This window comes from Homo sapiens, chromosome 13, assembly GCF_000001405.40.
Source record: "Homo sapiens chromosome 13, GRCh38.p14 Primary Assembly".
Lineage (NCBI taxonomy): Eukaryota > Metazoa > Chordata > Mammalia > Primates > Hominidae > Homo > Homo sapiens.
This window is the reverse complement of record NC_000013.11, coordinates 97,168,119-97,187,096: the sequence shown is the minus strand read 5'-3', so window position 1 is coordinate 97,187,096 and position 18,978 is coordinate 97,168,119. Positions and strand designations below refer to the sequence as shown.

General features: G+C 40.6%; 1 protein-coding gene and 1 long non-coding RNA gene across 26 annotated transcripts in view; one reads left to right on the top strand and one right to left on the bottom strand.

Moving 5' to 3' along the window:
* MBNL2 (muscleblind like splicing regulator 2) overlaps positions 1 to 18,978 on the bottom strand; it is a 252,287-nt gene that overhangs the window by 207,024 nt on the left and 26,285 nt on the right. The gene's annotated exons all lie outside the window — the stretch shown is intronic.
* On the top strand, positions 7,475 to 14,715 carry LINC00456 (long intergenic non-protein coding RNA 456). Its single transcript, NR_125725.1, has 2 exons — positions 7,475 to 7,770; positions 14,233 to 14,715. It is a non-coding gene; the product is annotated as a long intergenic non-protein coding RNA 456 (long non-coding RNA).

Here is an 18,978-nt window from a genome sequence, read left to right as displayed (position 1 = left end):
GTGGGATCTCCAAGAATCTCATTCCCCATAGGACAGAATGCACAGGACAAGAAATTCTTTGAAGATGGAATTCTCACTATTTTGAGGGTGGCAATAAGGCAGGGGAAGCCAGTGGGTCCCTACAAAACAAAGTCATTGAGTGATCACTTGGGAGCCTCTGAGATCCAAAATTAATATATTATCTCAACCTGGTGATACTCTTTGAGCACTGGAGGTGTCACGTGTGAAATGCCACCCTTTCCACCCCCTTTTTTTTGGTGTATGATCAAAATATCAATGCCTGTATTGTGATACAGAATGATCATTTGAAGTTTTATCATCAGAGTAACATGATGATAGGAATCACTTCTTTCTGTAATACTAACCTAATCTTAAAACGATGATTTGCTGTGATCTCCAGATGAATCTGAAAGTATCCATAGTTGGAGATGGCAGATCCCGTGTTTAGACCAATGAAGGCCCAATATAGTTTTCTAGTCATATGGTTAGATAGTCATTCTGACCTGCTTTATTAATTGATCAACCAATTTTAATATTATGAATATATAATGTATAACTTTTATTAAAAGATAATGGTAGCTCAATTATACTAAAATAATAGCCAAGGTCTACTCTAACCAGGGCTCCTGATGGTTAGGTAAACTAAAAATATTCCAAAATGAACATCTGAGCAGCTCTCCGTGTAGGAGCAGGAAAATAGAGTGTACACCGTAGGAAGTCAGAGAGATCTAATGGAACTCTGAGGCTTGTGGATGAGATGACTAGGTGTTGCCAGTAACCAGGATTGGATTACAGGAGAAGGGGCAGGATTTGGGGAAATTACGAGCTCAGTTTCAGATGTGTTGAACTTAAGCATCTACGGTAGCATGCCTAATAAGTATGGGTCTAAAAATCAGGAAAGCTCTGGGGTTATGAAATTTACCCATCTGGAAACCGTCGTCTCACCTCCCCTTTTGGTGCTTAGCTGAGCACTGTTCCTGGGCTAGAATCCCAGGTATTAAGGCCAAACATTGAAGAGACAAGGGCTGAGTTATCAAGAGAGAGCATCTAGGCTGAGGGCAATCTGGCTCACGAATCTAAACCTGGAGGAGCTGGGTATAGAGAAAAAGCCCAGGCATGGGCCATAAGTAGCAAAATGAAGAGAAGCAGTGGAATGCCGGGTGAGAGGTAGCATTCTGAAGGAAGGAGGAGCCACCAGAGGAAAGTCATGGGTGATTTTTATGGAGCGCCTAGAGCCTTGCCTGTCAGGGTGGAGGGAATTTGATTAGTTTCCTGTGGCTGCTGTGATGAATTAACACAAGCCTAGTGGCTTAAGACACACACATTTACAGCTTATAGTTCTGGAGGTCAGCCCCAATGTGCTTTTGTGCTGAAATCAAGGTGTGGGGGACCCATGTCCCTGCTGGAGATTCTAGGGGAAAATCTCTTTGTCGTTTCCAACTTCCGGAGGCTGCCCACATGCCTCTGCTCATGGCTCCTTCCATCTTTAAAGCCTCTCACTCCAACCTCAGCTTTCGTGGTCACAGTACCTTCTCTCACCCTCTTATCTCCCTCTTATCAGGTCCATTGTGAGTACATTGAGCTCAATATGGCTAATCCAAGATAATCTTCAGATCTCAAGATTCCTAACTGCAGCTGCAAAGTCCCTTTTTCCATGTAAGGTAACATATTCTCAGGTTCCAGGAATTGGGATGTGGACATCTTTGGGAGAGTGATTATTCAGCCTCCTGGAGGAATGTAAAGGCATTCTGGAAAAACCTGATTCTCATTCCAAGGTATTTCAGATTTATGAAATATTTCTTTTATAAAACTAAGTTATTCTCTATTCAGTGATGTGAATTATTTACTGCAGGTCAACTTCAGGTCACCACATTTTGTACTTAACTCTCAATTTGGGATTCTTCTTAGAGTAATTCAGGACATCATGGATATAAATTTTATTCTTTGTTTTGGATATCAAATATCATCATAACTTAAGGTATGAACACTCTGTTGAATATTATGCAACAATTAAAAGCATGAAAACATGCAGAAACACAAGAAATAATTGAGATAACATATGTGCAATATGAAAATAGCCCAAAAGGAAATATGTAAAATGAATAATTGTTGTTTCATTAGAAACATGGGAATATGTCACACTTTGGTCCTTTTCTCTAATTCTCAAGCATTCTACAGTAAAAAAAAAATTTTTGGCTATTTTTGAAAAGTGACATGCCAAAGAATATGTGTCTGACTCAGGGAAAAGATGGAGGAATAAATTATTATTGCCAACTGCAGACAGGAGGTGAAAACAGTGAAAATGGAGGAGTCAAACTCCCAACCTCAGGTGATCTGCCCGCCTCAGCCTCCCAAAGTGCTCGGATTCTAGGTGTGAGCCACCACACCCAGCCCAAGAACAGCCTGGCCAAGATGGCAAAACCCCGTTCCTACTAAAAATACAAAAATTAGCCAGCTGTGGTGGTGGGTGCCTGTAATCCCAGCTACTCAGGAGGCTGAGGCAGGAGAATCACTTGAACCCAGGAGGTGGAGGTTGCAGTGAGCCAAGATCATGCCTGGAAATCGGATAGTCACTGATGCTTGGTAGTGGAGGGGTTATTTCCAGGGGTGAGGGGGGAACACGGAAGGATGGGATGGTTATTTTGGAGACCATGAGGACGACAGCTGGAAATCATTGCTTAGGGAGGAAAGATGAGAGCAAAACATCATGGAACCCAGGGAGCAGTAAGGTTAAGTAAGCTTTTTTGTTATTGTCCTCTTCTTTTGAAAAACAATTTTTTTAAGAAAAGAGAGATTATTCTCACGTCTTACCAAAACTTAAGTAGATCTGTGTAACAAGAACTAGACTATATTGCATGCACACTTTAGAATTTCCTAAATTGATACTCTCTATATCTTGTAGGATAGAGAAACAGTGCCTGGTAGCAGAATGAATGTGAGAATAGTCTTTTCTCCCCCTAACAAGCTATGGGAAAGATACTTCCATTCAATGAACCTCAGTTTCCTCATTTTTAAAACCCATGGTTTGGATCAGATAGTTTCTAATGATCATTGAAGCTGTAATACTTTATATCCATCTCTGAAGTCTCTAGCTCCATTTAAAAAGTCTTAGTTTCATTCTCTCATCAGAATGATTAGACCAAAGCATGATTGTGAAAAAAAGAGACTGGGGATTTGGTTTCATATCCAAATGTCTCATTCCTGTACAGGCCAAATAATCAGCTCACTTGCCTGGAAGCATGTTTATGGAAGCAATTCAACAACTGAGAAAGATTGGTAATGCCAGAGGAAGTGGAACAATAATTCCTCCCTTTTATTAATATCAGATAACAGGTAAATCCCACCATCCACCTAGGCAAAGGATTGAAAATTGCCATTAAGAGAAAAATTAAAGAAGGTGCACAGGACAATGCCCATTTTACCTTCCTGTCAGAGCTGGGCAAGGTGCTTTTGGAGGCGTACCCAACTGTGGGCGTAAAATTGTCAAACTGTAAAACACCAGGTGCTGGCCACTATGTGCTTAGGAGAAATGCAAATGGTATCTGGGCAGAGAGGATCCCTTTGGGTATTTGGCAGAATATGATGACAGTTTGGAGAGGGCTCAGAGAAGGGTAGAGGGAGAGATCAGTAGGATGATGAGAAGGTGTTTGCCAAACCTGTATTTCAGGCAAGAAGGGGAAGACATTTTATGAGTGCACTGGAAACCGAATGAGTCTTCTTAAGTTCAATGTGATTAAGAACAGAGGTAACTAGAGTTTAGGAAACATAGCTGCTGAATTTTGGGTAACTACTATGAAAGATAGAATTTGCCATGATTTCTATTAACTATTATAATACAAGGACTAAATTGTTGGGATAGAGAGACACACAGAGATCAGTGATACTGAACCATGAAAACAGAAGAGAAAATCAAATTAGAAAAACATCCATAGCCACATATGGATTAAGATTTCCTCAATTCCTTATTGAAAAGATATTAGAGTTAACACAACCCTAGTCCATAACCTTTGATTTTGATGCATCTGCGTTTATGTTTGACTTAACTATATAGCAATTACATATTAAACTGTATGTACTTTCCTTCTGTAGTAATGAAGTCAGACTTTTTATTGATATTGTAAAAATCTTGAATTTATTCTCCAAACATAGCAGTAGATATATCTATACTTGGGGTAACTCATAATGAGCATTTATTCTTCCCCTTTCCCCCAAGATCAACCCAGTTTCCTTGCTAAGACTAAATACACAATGGAGGGGAATAATTCTCAAGAAGGAATTCAAGATGCTCTTGGGAGGGAAATGTGTTTTGTGCAATAACAACCACCACCAACAAAAATCTACGTGTGCCCTTATAACCTCTTCTTGATTGTTGCCTAAAATTCACCATATCTTCGTTTCTATCTTGACAGTTCAAAAAATGTCTGAAAGTTAACTTTCCTAACACGTCAAAAGTGCGTTAACCTCCTCTTCCTAAAGGAAGATAACCCGAAGTCTTACCAGTTACCCCATTCATCTCCAAGCCTAGATTATCTGAGTGATGTCCATGTCTCCTCTCATTCCATTGTGGTGTCTCATCAGTTTTCCACTTTAAAGCTAAATGGCATAAGTGTCACCAATATGCACCATATAAGATAGTGGAGGAAGGTAGAGGAAAGAGAAGGAAAATCAGATAAAACATTTAATATATGTATTGCATAGCAAAGAAGGAAAAATAAGTAATAGCTGCAAAGATTAGTTCTGTTATCTGTCACCAGTGCTAACTGAATATTTATGACTTCCTTCGTCCACCTGCTGCTTTGACTTCCCTTTGTGTGGGGTTCTCTAACATGTGTATATTCTGAGCCCTGGTAGATCTACCTGTTTAGTTTGCATGAGTCATCAGTATATAAGGTATTGCAAGGCAGCATCCATAGGATTGCCTGGGTTCCATCCATATGCCTTCCTTCCACTTTTGTGGCAGCATCCTATTATCTTTTAATAGTCAAAGTAAAATACATCATCCTAAACACTAACCCTCAGCACCATAAGACAGGGAGAAAAAATAAATTAAAAATAAAAAACCCCTACTAACCCTTCTTTTGCTTGTTTGTCCAGTGGCAATGATGAGCCTAAAATAACCAGGTTACAAGGAAGTACTACGCCTTTAGAACCATTCTGTATCCATTGATGGAAGGACAACTTTCTTGGGCACTAAAACTTCTCAACCAGAAGATCTCAGTTACAGGGGCAGGAAACAAAGCTTTCACAAGTAGCTCATTGGACATAACCATAAGAGACATCATCTTCATGGTGGCTTTGTATTCTGTGTATTGAGGCTGTAACAATGTCAGTCAAGATGTGAGTAGCCAGAGAGAGAAGACCAGGAATAGCTGTCCTCTTACTGAATGGTGCTTAACTGAGGTTGATATATCATATATTACACTCACCAAAGTCATGCTTAGACTGCCTCCTGAAAAAAGCTGAACCAATTTCTAAGATGACAGGCTTTAGGCATAAATTATCTTTCCTATACGTGTTCAAAAGGGAGAATTTTTTAGGAGCAAAACACGTAAAACTTTTTTTGGTAAAAACAACTTGGTTTCAGCACTACTATACATTTCATCATTTCCCCTGGCTCATCCATTAAATCTCCCTATGTTTCTGAGTTTGATTCTATCAGATTAGGGGAAAACACCATCTCACTTAAAAATTGCGTTCCTTTTTTAAAACCACCTATTCAATAAGCATTTACAGAGTCGTGTCCCTACACATGTGGCAGGCAGAACAGTGGTCCCTAGAGATGTCAACATTCAAATCCAGGAACCTGTGAATATATTATCTTATATGGCAAAATGCATGGTTAAATTAAGATGTGATTACATTCAGGGTCTTCAGATGGGGAGATTGTTCTGGATTATGTGAATGGGCTCCATGTAAGCACAAAGATCCTTATAAAAGGGAGGTCAGAAGGGTCACAGAAGGGGATGTGACAATGGAAGCAGAAGTCAGAGAAGGTGGGGGGGAGAGAGAGAGAGAGAGAGAGATTGAGTTGAAGATGCTACACTGTGCTGCTGGCTTTCAAGATGGAAGAAGGAGACATAAGCCAAGGAATACACAGTGCAGATGACCTCTAGAAGCTGAGAAAGGCAAGAGAATAGATTATCCCTTAGAGCCTCCAGAAGGAATGCAGCTCTGCTAACAGATTGATTTTAATAAAATGTAACCCATTTGGGCTTCTAACCTTTAGAACTGTGAAATAATAGATCTGTGTTGTTTAAGGCCACCAACAGATAGATTGTGACAATTTTCAATTTTGTATAGCAGTGAGCAGTGATAGGAACTGGTACAACATGTTTTTTTTTTTTTTTTTTTTTTTTAGATGGAGTCTCACTCTGTCGCCCAGCCTGGAGTGCAGTGGTGCCATCTCGGCTCACTGCAACCTCTGCCTCCCAGGTTCAAGCGATTCTCCTGCCTCAGCCTCCTGAGTAGCTGGGACTACAGGCGTGCACCACCATGCACCACACCCAGCTAGTTTTTGTATTTTTTAGTAGAGAAGGGTTTCACCATGTTGCCTAGGCTGGGCTCAAAGTCCTGACCTCGTGATCTGCTTGCCTCAGCTTCCCAAAGTGCTGGGATTACAGGTGTGAGCCACCATGCCTGGCCGATCACACCATTTGATAAAAAATGGTAAATTTTTTATAAATATCAACTCAGCCCATTCTTCTATTCAATGTTTTCCAGAATTGTATATCCAAATGACTTCTGGTAAATCATCACCCAGTGGTCACAAACACATCTCAAGCTCAAAAACTGGTAACTTCTCCCTCAAACTTGGTCCTCCTCCAGTATCTGCTTTATCTGTGACTGGCACCATCAGTTTCTCAGACGTTCAAGCCAGAAACCTGGAGGTCATCTTTGATGCTGTTCCCTCAAAATCCCTAACCAAGTCATTACTAAGTCTTGTAGAGTTTACCTCCTAATTCTCTCTGTTTCAATTGCATCTCTCCATCTTCACCACCTTAATTCTACCACCGTAATCTTCCATCTGCACAATTCATAACTGGTTTTCTCTCATTCATACCTTATACATTCTCTGTACTTCATACAAACTCATTTTTTTATGAAAATCTGGTCAGAAATTGTTCATGCTCTATGCAATTGAACGGTTTTCTATTGCTCTTTAAGACAAGAATCTATAAGGGGAACAAAAGGCCCTGTGACATCTGGCCCTTGCCCATCTTTCCAGCATCATCTCTGGTCACTGACCCCCTAACTCTCTCTACTGTGGCCACCCTGGACTTCTTCTTCTGTCCCCTTGACATTCCATGCTCCTTTTCTCCTTGGGGCCATCACACATGTTGTTTCTTAGCTGGGACAAGCACGAACTGGATTTTCTGGCCCAGCAGCATTCTTAGGAGTTGGAACTGAGCAGAAGAAGGCGCAAAAGGCCCAGAGAGTCAGGGCATAGTTCAAGGGAACCTGGTGATGTACTCTTACATGTCAGCAGGTCAGGAAGCAAGCAAGCCTGGAATTTAAGTCCAGGGAAGCAGGGAGAAAGCACTTTGCTAAGGAATCAGCCCAGAAGACAGTCCAGACAGGAACCTAGGTTAAGGAAGTGCAATGGGAAGACCACCCCCGACTCTGATGCCACCCAGGAAATGAGTTTGCTGTGGCCTAACAGTTGTTTTCTGAGTATATTTTCATGTCAAATAGCAAAAGTAGAACTTTTGGAGGAGGTGTGAAGAAATGAAGAGTGACTAGAGGAAAATAGAGAGTCAGAAGTTGCAGTAGGTAAGTCAAAAGAGAAGATGATTTAACATGGTCAAATAAGAGAAGAGAATTCATGGTATTGAACAACAAAAAAGTCAGTAATAATGGCAGGTGAATAACTAAGTGGCCAGTGAGAAGTAGAGGCAGTGAGTAGTGAACACTAATGAAGCTGGCTTGTAAAGAGAAGTGGTGCATTACGTTAAGGGAGGCGTTGCTTGTTTTGAAATGGGAGAGACTGATCCATGTTGATATGTCTGTGAATTACTCCTTGTTCTTCCTTATTGTGGAAATGATCAGGTCTTTGATTATTTGTTTTCACCAAAGTGATTCAAGTGGTTCAAAGACTACTAAGAATATGTATAATTCCCAGCTTCAACTATTTATCTCAAATTAAACATTTAAAGCTATTTTGATATATACCATTGTATTTCTTTTTTGTTTTTGTGTTTTTGAGACAAGGTCTTTCTCTGTCACCCAGGCTGGAGTGCAGTGGTGTAATCATGGCTCACTGCAGCCTCGACCTCCTGGGCTCAAGCAATCCTTCCACCTCAGCCTCCCCAGTCGCTGGGACTATGGGCATACACCACCATACCTGGCTAATTTTTGTAATTTTATGTAGAGACAGGGTCTCACCATGATGCCCAGACTGGTCTTGAACTCCTGGGCTCAAGTGATCTGCCTGCCTTGGCCTCCCAAAGTACTGGGACTATAGGTGTGAGCTATTGTGCCTGGCTTACTATTGTATTTCTAAGCAGTGTTTATTTTAGACATTTCTATTGATTCTCTCTGCTATGAAAGATGAGGTTGAAGCACCCTTGGAGAAATCACATGGGCCCACACACGTTTCTCCTCTATTTTCCCAAAATGGTTGTATAACAATTTTTTACTTAAATATTCAGTCTTTACTATGTAATTATTATTCATGTTGAGCCACAAAGTACACTATTACTGCTTTTTCCATTTTGTACAGCTTATTTGTTTTTTCATTAAATTTCCCTGTGCTGATCATTAATTATTCCACATACTGTCTCATAGAACTGTATATTCGTCTCAGATAGTTAAACACATAAATAAATCAGTTCCATTTTCATAGTCATGGCTACCATTTAAACCATTCTCAGTGTCATCCTCCATCTAGCCTCTTGTTCAAATCTACCCTAGTTGGTCCCTCCTCATGCCAAAGTGCTATGTTCCTCGCATTTTCTTTGCCAGAATCCTGTGGATTTACTTCCATTGACTTTTTCTGTGTAGTATCCACTGTTTCCAAGACTCAATGTCTTTTTATTTGTTGATTTATTCTGACATTTTGGTAGTGCAACATCTCCAGGAGCTTTTCCAAGAACACATACATAGGAGGTAAATTTTTGAAATCTCAAATGTCTGGCAATGGATGCAACTTACGCTTATACTTAATTGATGGTTTGTCTTAGAGAATTCTAGGTGGAAAATCATTTTCTACCACAATTTGAAGATACTGTTTCATTTTCTTCTAGCCCTCAATACTGTAATTGAGAATTCTGATGTTATTCTAATTCTTGACCCTTTATATGTTAACACATTTTATGTCTCTGGAAATTTTTGAGATTATATTTTTACTTAGCATTCTGAAGTTTAATTGTGATGTGTCTTGTTTACATTTTCAGTCTTTGTATCTAACAGGCATTTTCTAAAAACACATATCTTCTCATTTTGGAAAAATATTCATATTATTTGTTTGATGATTTTCTTCTCCAACTTTTCTCTATTTCTTCATTCTGGATCATTGGACCTAATGCATTGGTCTCCTGTTTTTATATTATTCTTTTCCATTTGCCTTTTCTTTTTTGTCTTTTTGTTGTACTTTACCCTGGACTTTATCTTCTGAAACTCCTACAGAGTTATTGATTTGTGTTACCATAATTTTTAAGTTTCAAAAGCTTCTAATTCCTCATCAAGAGTTCTATTTTTATGGCATCATATTGTTCTTTCATGGCTGCAAAAGCTTCTCTTATTTCTCTTTTTTCTTTGGAGACAGAGTCTCTCATTCTGTCAGCCAGGCTGGAGTGCAGTGGCGTGATCTCAGCTCATTGAAACCTCTGCCTCCCAGGTTCAAGTGATTCTCCTGCCTCAGCCTCCTGAGTAGCTGGGACTACAGGCACATGCCACCATGCCTGGCTAATTTTTTGGATTTTTAGTAGAGATGAGGTTTCTCCATGTTTCCCAGGCTGGTCTCAAACTTCTGAGCTCAGGAAATCCACCTGACTCAGCCTCCCAAAGTGCTAGGATTACAGGTATGAGCCATCACACCTGGCCAAAGTGTCTCTTATTTCTATGGCAAAGATAACTATACATTTTTTGTACCTTGCTTCGTATCCATTTCTCACCATTTGTTTATTCTCTATATTTTTTTTCTGCCCTTCAAGAGAGAGAATTTTCTCTATTGTCTGTGGACCCTTGACTATTGGTTTATATTTAATAGTGAGAGACTAAAAACGTTGTTTGGTGAGATGTCCAATTGCAGTAGTGGCAAAGTAGGTCGATGTAGGGGAATTCTCCTACAAAGTATAATTGAAAAAATATAATATACCTTGAAAGTCTGCTGGGAGGTAGGAAAAGGCTATTAAGGTATTCAGGACTTGAAGGACTGAAATTTCTAACTGAAGAGAAACATTTTGAAGTGAGACTTGCATTCTTTAGAACTTTTCCCCTCAAAGTATCTACAAATTCTTATGCAGGCTAAGCTGTACTCATTAATGATGCTGTTTACCCTCTTGCAATACATTCGTGGAAGTCCAGGTGAGTATTGCATCCTCTGAACCCTCTAGAGGAGTATAATGCTCCGGAGAGGCTTTGAGGTTCACATGGGCAGGGCTGCACTGCTCCATCTTTTATGCCTCCCTCTACCATCTACTGTGGAAATTAAGGCCTTTCCACTTTACTGTGGACCAAGCATATTCAGGCTTCTATTAGCAGTGAGTTTGCCCCAACCCCTGGGACCTTGGCCAGGGTATTTAATTCTGTGTTCCAAAAAAGTGCCCCCAAGTTAATGTATTTTTGCTTTGTATTCTGCAGCTTTATATTCTGACCTCCTTGATCAATCACCCTCAAAATATAATGCCAGGGGTACTATACAGACTTAATATATCCCTGCTAATTCTTTCAGTTTCTTTGATGAGCATTCTTTCTTCTCTTGTCAGACCCAGCATGTCCCTGGCCAGGATATGCTGAGATTTAACTCGAGCTATTTGCCTGGCAGAAAAGAGAGGAGGGAAGCATGTGTTTACTTTTAGAGGAGAAGCTTCTACAGATTCTTCCAGCATGGCAGAGTAATAGCTTTTGCTAGGGATGGGACGGCTGGCCACCTCAGGGGTTTCTGAGTATTCAGTGTGTGCAGAGCCAAAATCCTGGGGGGCATCCATCCAGATATACCCATCTCATGTTTCAGGGTTTCAGATTTTCCTAACCAGGACCCTGATCTTAGCACAACAAGCCTGCTTTGGCTATGCATTAAAACATCACTGGAGGTCTGCAACTCTATCAGGTCCTGAGTGCCCCTTAGCTGTGTCCACTTTTCAACTGCAGCAAAATAAGTACCTCTTTTTTAAGCTACCAGAGAGTCCCTCTGGCTCTCACACTTATTGCCCTCAGCTTCTCATCACCCTTTTGCAGGGTGGCAATACAAGTTTGTAATTACCATCCAACTCTGCTCTTGTTGGGGGCATTGTTCTCCACTTAGCTTTTAAATACCTGATTATCTGGAATCATCACACTAGCAAAGGATATTAACTTCTACTGGGACATTTTTCCAGGTCAACACCAGTGACATCTTCAGCAATTTGGCCACCATCTCATTCCAGGGGCAATCTGTTCTCCATGTTTACTCAGGATGGGGTCCTCTTTGCAATCCAGGTGGTGTGTGGGTCAGTCCCCAGGCCCATCTTTGCACCCGTTTTCCTGGATCACTGTTAGGATCACTTGGTCAGTTCAAATCCTCTGAGAAGAAGACTTCAAGTCAGGATTCGTTGTATAAGAGATTTGCTGGGGGAGACACCTATGAAGGATAAACGGGGAAGAAGTAGGAGTGGGTAGGAAGAGCCTTCAGGCAGCAGTGCAGGTCTGGCACCTGTGAGAGGAGAGAAGGAAGGAAGGATTGGGTAGGAAGAGCCCACGATTGCAGTGTAGTTTTTAGAGTGGCTTGGCCAGGCTGTTGGGAAGTCCCTGAGACTTCCCAAAGGTTGCCTGTTGGAAGAGTCTTCCACAACTGTAATGTTCAGTCATTGGCTGAATGTAGCCCAGGGACACATGGCCTCAATGCTCCTATGCTCTCTGCAGGGTATTTTCTTAAAGGAAACCTGAGGCACACCTCCACAGCTGCCACAGGTAATTATTTTCTCAACATGAGAATTCTATAGTCTCCTTCCCAGGGATCCAAGTCTGGTTCCCAGTAATCTGTGAGCTGAAGTGGGAGAAAGGACTGAAGATGCCATCATCAGTTTGTGGACTGTCATTGAGTCTTTTTTTTTTCCAGGGTAGTGACTCACCACCTGTTTCCACTGGCCTTAGTATTCCAGAGTCTAGAGAGTCTCTGCTTTCATTTTTCCAGAAAAGAAACCTTCTGATGCTGAGATAAGGGAGATCATTAATTGGCATTGAAGTGTGCAGATGTGATCTAGGAGTCTGCTTCTTCTACAGCCAATCCTGTTTTCAGCCATGCTCTGTGAGCCTGCCTTCCAAAATACCTATTTGCCTTTGATCCCTCAGTTTGTCTTGGGGTTTGCAGCACATATTGATTTGCTTTTTGTTAGCATCTCCCTATGAAGACATGTAGCTTTCAGCTCTTTTCCCTCTGCTAAGTCAATCACCACTTATCCATCCTCTTTTTATCTTCCAAACTTGGTTGACATTATTCATTCATTGTAGACCTTGTTTCTGGTTTTCTTTGTCCTAATGAGTCTGTATAATTTTTATTCCTTTGTTCTTATTGGTTTGGAGGAGCGAGTAGAGGTAAGGAATAGATGCAACTGTAGTCAAGAGAAGGGTCAACTTTTCTGTGTAACCAGAAGACAGACAGAAGAAATCAGGTACTGAAAAGTATGGCTGTAGAGTTAGGAAGTTAAAGCCATTCCCTCCTGAATGCCCTGTCTTATCTCATGCCCAGCTGCCCACCCACCAGCTTCATTCCAGAAGCAGCTTACATTAATAATGGCATTTTTCACCCTGCCTAAGAGAAATCTCATTTTTCTTTGTGTTTACCTTAGAATAGAGAAAAGCAACTTCTAGAAGTTTACTTTACTGCAGATGCTTTGTACAAAGCTTTATAGGTACAAAAATGGGCAGTATCTGGCTCTTGCCTTTAAAGAACTTATAAACTAGTGAGACAGATGATATAAAATGACAATTTTAGCAGAATGTGATAAATTTTTACGGCACATGAATTTAGGGAGTTCCATGGAAATGCAGAAGAGGGCCCTAACATCAACCCGGAACTTAAGCAAGATTCCTAAAGGAATGGAGGTATCCGATAAGTACTGAAAGATGATTCCACATTAGCCAGGCAAAGATAGAAGGCGCAGATATTCCAGAGACAGGTGATGGGTTAGCTAGCATGTGGTGGTGAGACATATCCTGCTGTTTGTGGGGGAACAAAGAGGCAAGAGGAGGAAGTGGTAGGTTTAGAGTGGACTTAAAGGAGGCTGGAAAAGGGAAATGGCTGGATCACGGGCTTCTTTGGTTCCACTTAAAGAGGAGGAGTGACATGTCTGATTTGGGTCTTAGAAACATCACTCAGGCTATAAAGACTAAGGAGAGGCCAGGGCAGGCAGGCAAGTGGAAATGATGGCCTGAACCATGTTGGTGATGCCAAAAACTGGGACAAATGAAAGGCAGTCATTGGAGCCAAGACACTAGGCTGGACCTCACTCCTCTGCCAATCATTTGTGCACTAAGTCCTTCAGCCTCCTTCCTGCATAGTGGGAACCACAATCTCTGCCTTTTGGTTAGTTCTTTGTATTAGAGAAGACAGTGACCTAGTCCATATTTGCCTGACATAGCACTTGGCACATAAGCAGTTGTTTTTATCCCTTTCCTCATTCCACATTTCTAAGTAACTTCCAATTCCTCTCAGTGTCTTACCTTTGATTCATAGTTGTTTTAAGAAAATTGGAATGACAAGGAAACAGTCTTAGTGGATCCTTTTGCTTTAGACTAGCCTGGACCAAAGCCCATCCATTCATCGTTATATTATTTTTATAGATGCTTGTATACATACACACACATATACATACAACACATCCCTTTTCTTCCTCACTTTTCTTCCATACTCATTTCCCACTGCTCCTTTCCTCCATTTGATGGACGAAGAACCCCAGTGAGTTTTGATGATACCCAGAAATTTTAAGATGTATCAAAGATGTCATGGTCATGCAACTTGTGTAATTACATATATATCTATATATTTTTTTTCGAGCCTCCACTCTGTGCTAAACACTCTTCTGTGCAAAATAGGAAGCACCAAAGAAGAAAACTCTGCCTTCACTGAGCTCTGGAAGAGGTGGAAGAGATGGGAGACTTACAGTTACATGCTGACCTTTTCAGTCATTTGGAGGCCTCATGTTCTAGGCTCTTAACTGATGGTGATGAAGCCACCAACAGGTGTGAAAGGTGTCCTCTTATTTACACACTATTCCTTTGAATAGTGTGATTAAGTTTTCATTCTTACAGTTCTATGCTACGACCAATTTGATAAAAGATTCTCATTTAACCATGCTGTCTTCATATATGTAAGCTTCCTTGATATCTAAAGAGTGTGAGCTCCTGAGCCAAGTCCAGTGGAAAATTTGCAGTCTCTTCTAGGATTAGATGAAGACCCAAGAATTCATCTTGCTACAGTGCGACAAGACTTGTCACAGATAGCTTGGATTTATGGGTGCTCTTCCACAGCAGAAATCGTTTCACCTTTTCAGGTGACCTTTACAGAATCATAAAATCAATCAGTTTTATTTGACATCCAAATCAGAATGCTGCCCTAAATAGATTGCTAGCACTTTACCTGGAGAACAAAATAGAGGAAATAGGAATGTGCCCAGGGCTAGGTGGAAGACAGCCCCGGAACAAGAGTGCTACTATTTAAAGTCCACACACAGGACTCAGTGAACAGAGCTCCTTAAGCACTCTGTGGCTGGGGTCACCCTGGTTACCTCTGCTCCACTGCCCGTGATCCTGGTGGATACCACAAAAACAAGCTCTTCACCCTCATCTTGAAATGGACTAATGAAAATAAAGTGGCAGACCTGTATTAGTCCGTTTTCACTCTGCTGATAAAGACATATCCAGGACTGGATAATTTATAAGGAAAAAGAGGTTTAATGGACTCACAGTTCCACGTGGCTGGGGAGGCATCACAATCATGGTGGAAGGCAAAAGGCACATCTTACATAGCAGCAGGCAAAGAGAGAATGAGAGCCGAGCAAAAAGAGTTTCCCCTTATTAAACCATCAATCTCATGTGACTTATTCGCTACCATGAGAAGAGACTGGGGAAACTGCCCCCATGATTCAATTATCTCCCATAACACATGGGAATTATGGGAGCTACAATTCAAGATGAGATTTGGGTGGGGACACAGCCAAACCATATCAAGACCCAGAATGAATTTTACATAGGTCCATCCTCCTTTCTATCCTGTTTGACTTGCTGACTGCAGGAATCTAGGTAGACTTGGTTGGGAAAAGGGGCATAATTCTAAATGTATTCCCTGTAGGCAGATGGCATATATTTGGCTTGGTTTCAACTCTAAATGATTTATGTAATGAGGATATCAAGAAAAGTGTATGAAGTATGACAGTGTGTGTTGTATATTGTATGTACACATGAATATATTTAGGTAGCTTCAAAAAAATTTTTTTACAGCTCTAATGATTTTGCAAAACTGTCTTCAAAGGAATTTAATAAGCTGAGAAACCAATATAATATAGTAGTTGCCAGCAAAGATTCTGGCACTGTCAGCTTTCAAATTCCAGTTCTATAACTTACAAATGGTGTGGCTTTTGGCAAGATCCCTAACGACTCTATGCCTCTATAGTTATGTTTCCTTAACAATAATAGCACTTGCCTTATATATGAGAATTACATGAGATAACGTATAAGCTCCAATAATTTCTGGCTTATAGGAAGTGTTATATATGAACTACTATTACACTTAAGTGGGCATAGTTGAACTCTGGAGAAAGAGCTAGGGTTGAAGTGGGGAGACAGTCCTGTGCAAACTGTGAGATCAGACCAACCTACATTTGAATTCCAGTACTTCCACTGTACAACTTTGGGTGAGTTACTTACTCAGTATAAAACTGCCTTTGCAAAAATTATGTCAGTGAGAAAATTATGGCAATGGAGGAGATTTGATCCAGCTCCTCTCCCTCTTGTCTTTAGCCTTCAATCTGCCAAGATAGCTTTGGGAGACATGTTTATAGTTTAAATGATAATAAGCCTTCTCAAAAACTTAACCACCTATGTAAAGCTAATAAGAGACCACCAGGCTAGGGAGAGGAGAGGAGCCTGAATTCTGCTAAACTGTAGACATGAACAATTGCCAGCCATTATTCCAGAGGTCCTGCAGATAACATCACTATTGTAGAACCTGAGATTGGCCTTTTGAGAATTTTTTTCTCAGATTTTTTGCATGTCTGATACCCATGGCTCCACCTGGATCCACCAACCAGTGGCTTCTGTGCCCCCACCCAGAAGCAACTGAGTGCAAGAGAACAGCTTCAGCTCCTATGATTTCACCTCCAACCCAACCAATCAGCAGCAAGCACCCACTGCCTAGCCACCCCCAAACTTCCTTTGTAAAATCCCTAACCTACGAGCTTTCCATGATATTGATTTGAGTAATAAGTCTATATCCCTGCGTGGTGTGGCTGGATTCATGTCAATTAAACTCTCTCTACAGCAATGCTGTCATCTTTGTTTGTGCAACTGGCAGGGAAACTAATTGGGCAGTTACAAGTATGGGATACTTATGTTCCATAATTATTACTAAGAGTTTTAAATGAGATAGCACATGTGAAGCACTTAGCAAAATGACTGGTTCACAGTTAATAATAAATGGGAGTGGTAATTATCAGTATCATTCACACATATACACATGCTTTACATATAATCACAAGCTTACATATAATTCTTGTCTTTCAGCATGTAGAATTTAAGATGAACTCAGGCAAGTAAGGAAATTGACATTCTAGTCACAAAAAACTGAAAGGGGTCAATGTAACCCTATGAAGTGCAGTGTCAGAATGACCAGAATTACCACTGTTAAGATGATAATAATTTCAGTCATGCAGTAAGGTGATGGTTGTTTGGATGAAGTCACAATGTAAGTAAAGGATGACGAGATCCTTTTTTATTAGCAACTGGATCTTTTTCCCAAAATGCACTAAATTGAAGCCATCACATTTGGATTAAAGTCAAGAAATCAAGTGCAGCATTGTGAGTTCCATGACGAAGGGCCACATCAAGCATTGTGGCAGCATTGTAGGGAAATAACCTCCCAGGAAACCACCTCATCATCAGTTAAATAAAATGATGGAGCTCCTTTTAAGCATACATATTAGACAAGGTTTGGAAAGATTGGCACAGTCATAAATGGAAGGGCAGGCTGCAAGAGTAGTGTATACTTTTCAACTTGACCTTCTCACCCATACAACCATAAGCCCTGGGAAGGAGGAAGATCTTCAAATGCGAAAGACTATTATGTGGTCATTTCTGAATTCATGATGCCATTTAGAAACACAAAACGCTTTCAGAATAAAACATTTGGCTTCAGCCAGCTTGAGTTTTCTCAGAAAACTATGAGATCAGAGAAATCTTGCTTTTGTGAAATTTCCAACCAATCTGCCTCTGGTTGGGGACACATGGAGGAAGTATTCGAAAACTGATAGATAGAAATTAAACCATCCATTTTTCAAGCCCTTCTTGTCACCACTCTATGTCTGGTGTCCAGCAGAGTGTCTGAAACACTATTGCATTATTTGGTTTTTCAATCCACTCTTGGAGGATCTGAATGTAAGAAAATGGAACCACCTGAGTTGATTAGCCCCTTCGTTTCATTTGACAAAGTAGTGTCCAGTAAGAACTACAAGAACAGAGTAATCAAGTAAGAGTTACCCCAGATTATGGAGTATTCAGCAATCTGACTTGGATACATCAATAAGAAGTTATTGGTCCCTAAAATGGCTGTTGACAGGGAGGCTGTGTAGAGGGCATCTCTGAGCACACCCTGTACATTTCTGAAAGAAATCCAGAAATGAGAAGCCATGCGACAAAGGGGGGAGTAGACGACCTTTGCCCACAAAGGACACAGCTGCAGGTCTAGGCTCCAGCACTTTCTGTCTTTGGTGATTTGGGACACCTTCTGTAACCTGTCTAAATTTCAGATACCTCCTATGTAACATGGTGAGAATAGTAAAAGGTCCCCAAGAGGCTTCTGAGAGATCAGATGAGACAAGGCATGAGAAAGCACTTTGTAAATTGCTGAAGTGCCACAGAAATGTTATTAAATTTACTGTTTCTGTAAAACATGACTTGGCAGTCCTTGAAAAAACACTGCACCATATTCTGTTCTAAATAAATGCAGATAGAAAATTGGGACCCTGAGTGATTATTTGTTTACATTATATTGGTATCTCTTCATTATGCTTAATCAATTCAACAAATACATAAAGTGCCTATTGCGTGCCGGGCACTATTTAAACACTGGGGAGACATTGGAAAATAAAACAAACATCCAGACTCTCATGGCTGGTTTTCCAGTGGGGACACAGGAAAACAAATCAAGTTAAAAATTATTTAGAATATGATAAGCTAGTAAGTCCCAGGGGAAAAAATAAAGCACAAAAGAGAGATAAGGATGGGGAGTGCAAAATTTATACAATATTCTCTTTTATTTATATAATATCTGTTTTTTCTTCATTGTTCTTCATTTATTGACAGTTTTGGAGAGCCGCAAGGGAAATGAAAGTTAATTTAGGAATTAATTAGATTTGATAAGTTTTGAAGCTGATCTTTTTAAACTTCTGGATTACATTTGTTTTTAATTAAAACATACGCAAGGCCGGGCATGGTGGCTCACACCTGTAATCCCAGCACTTTGAGAGGCTGAGGTGGGTGGATCACCTGAGGTCAGCAGTTCACGACCAGCCTGACCAACTAGTGAAACCTCATCTCTACTGAAAATACAAAATTAGCTGGGCATGG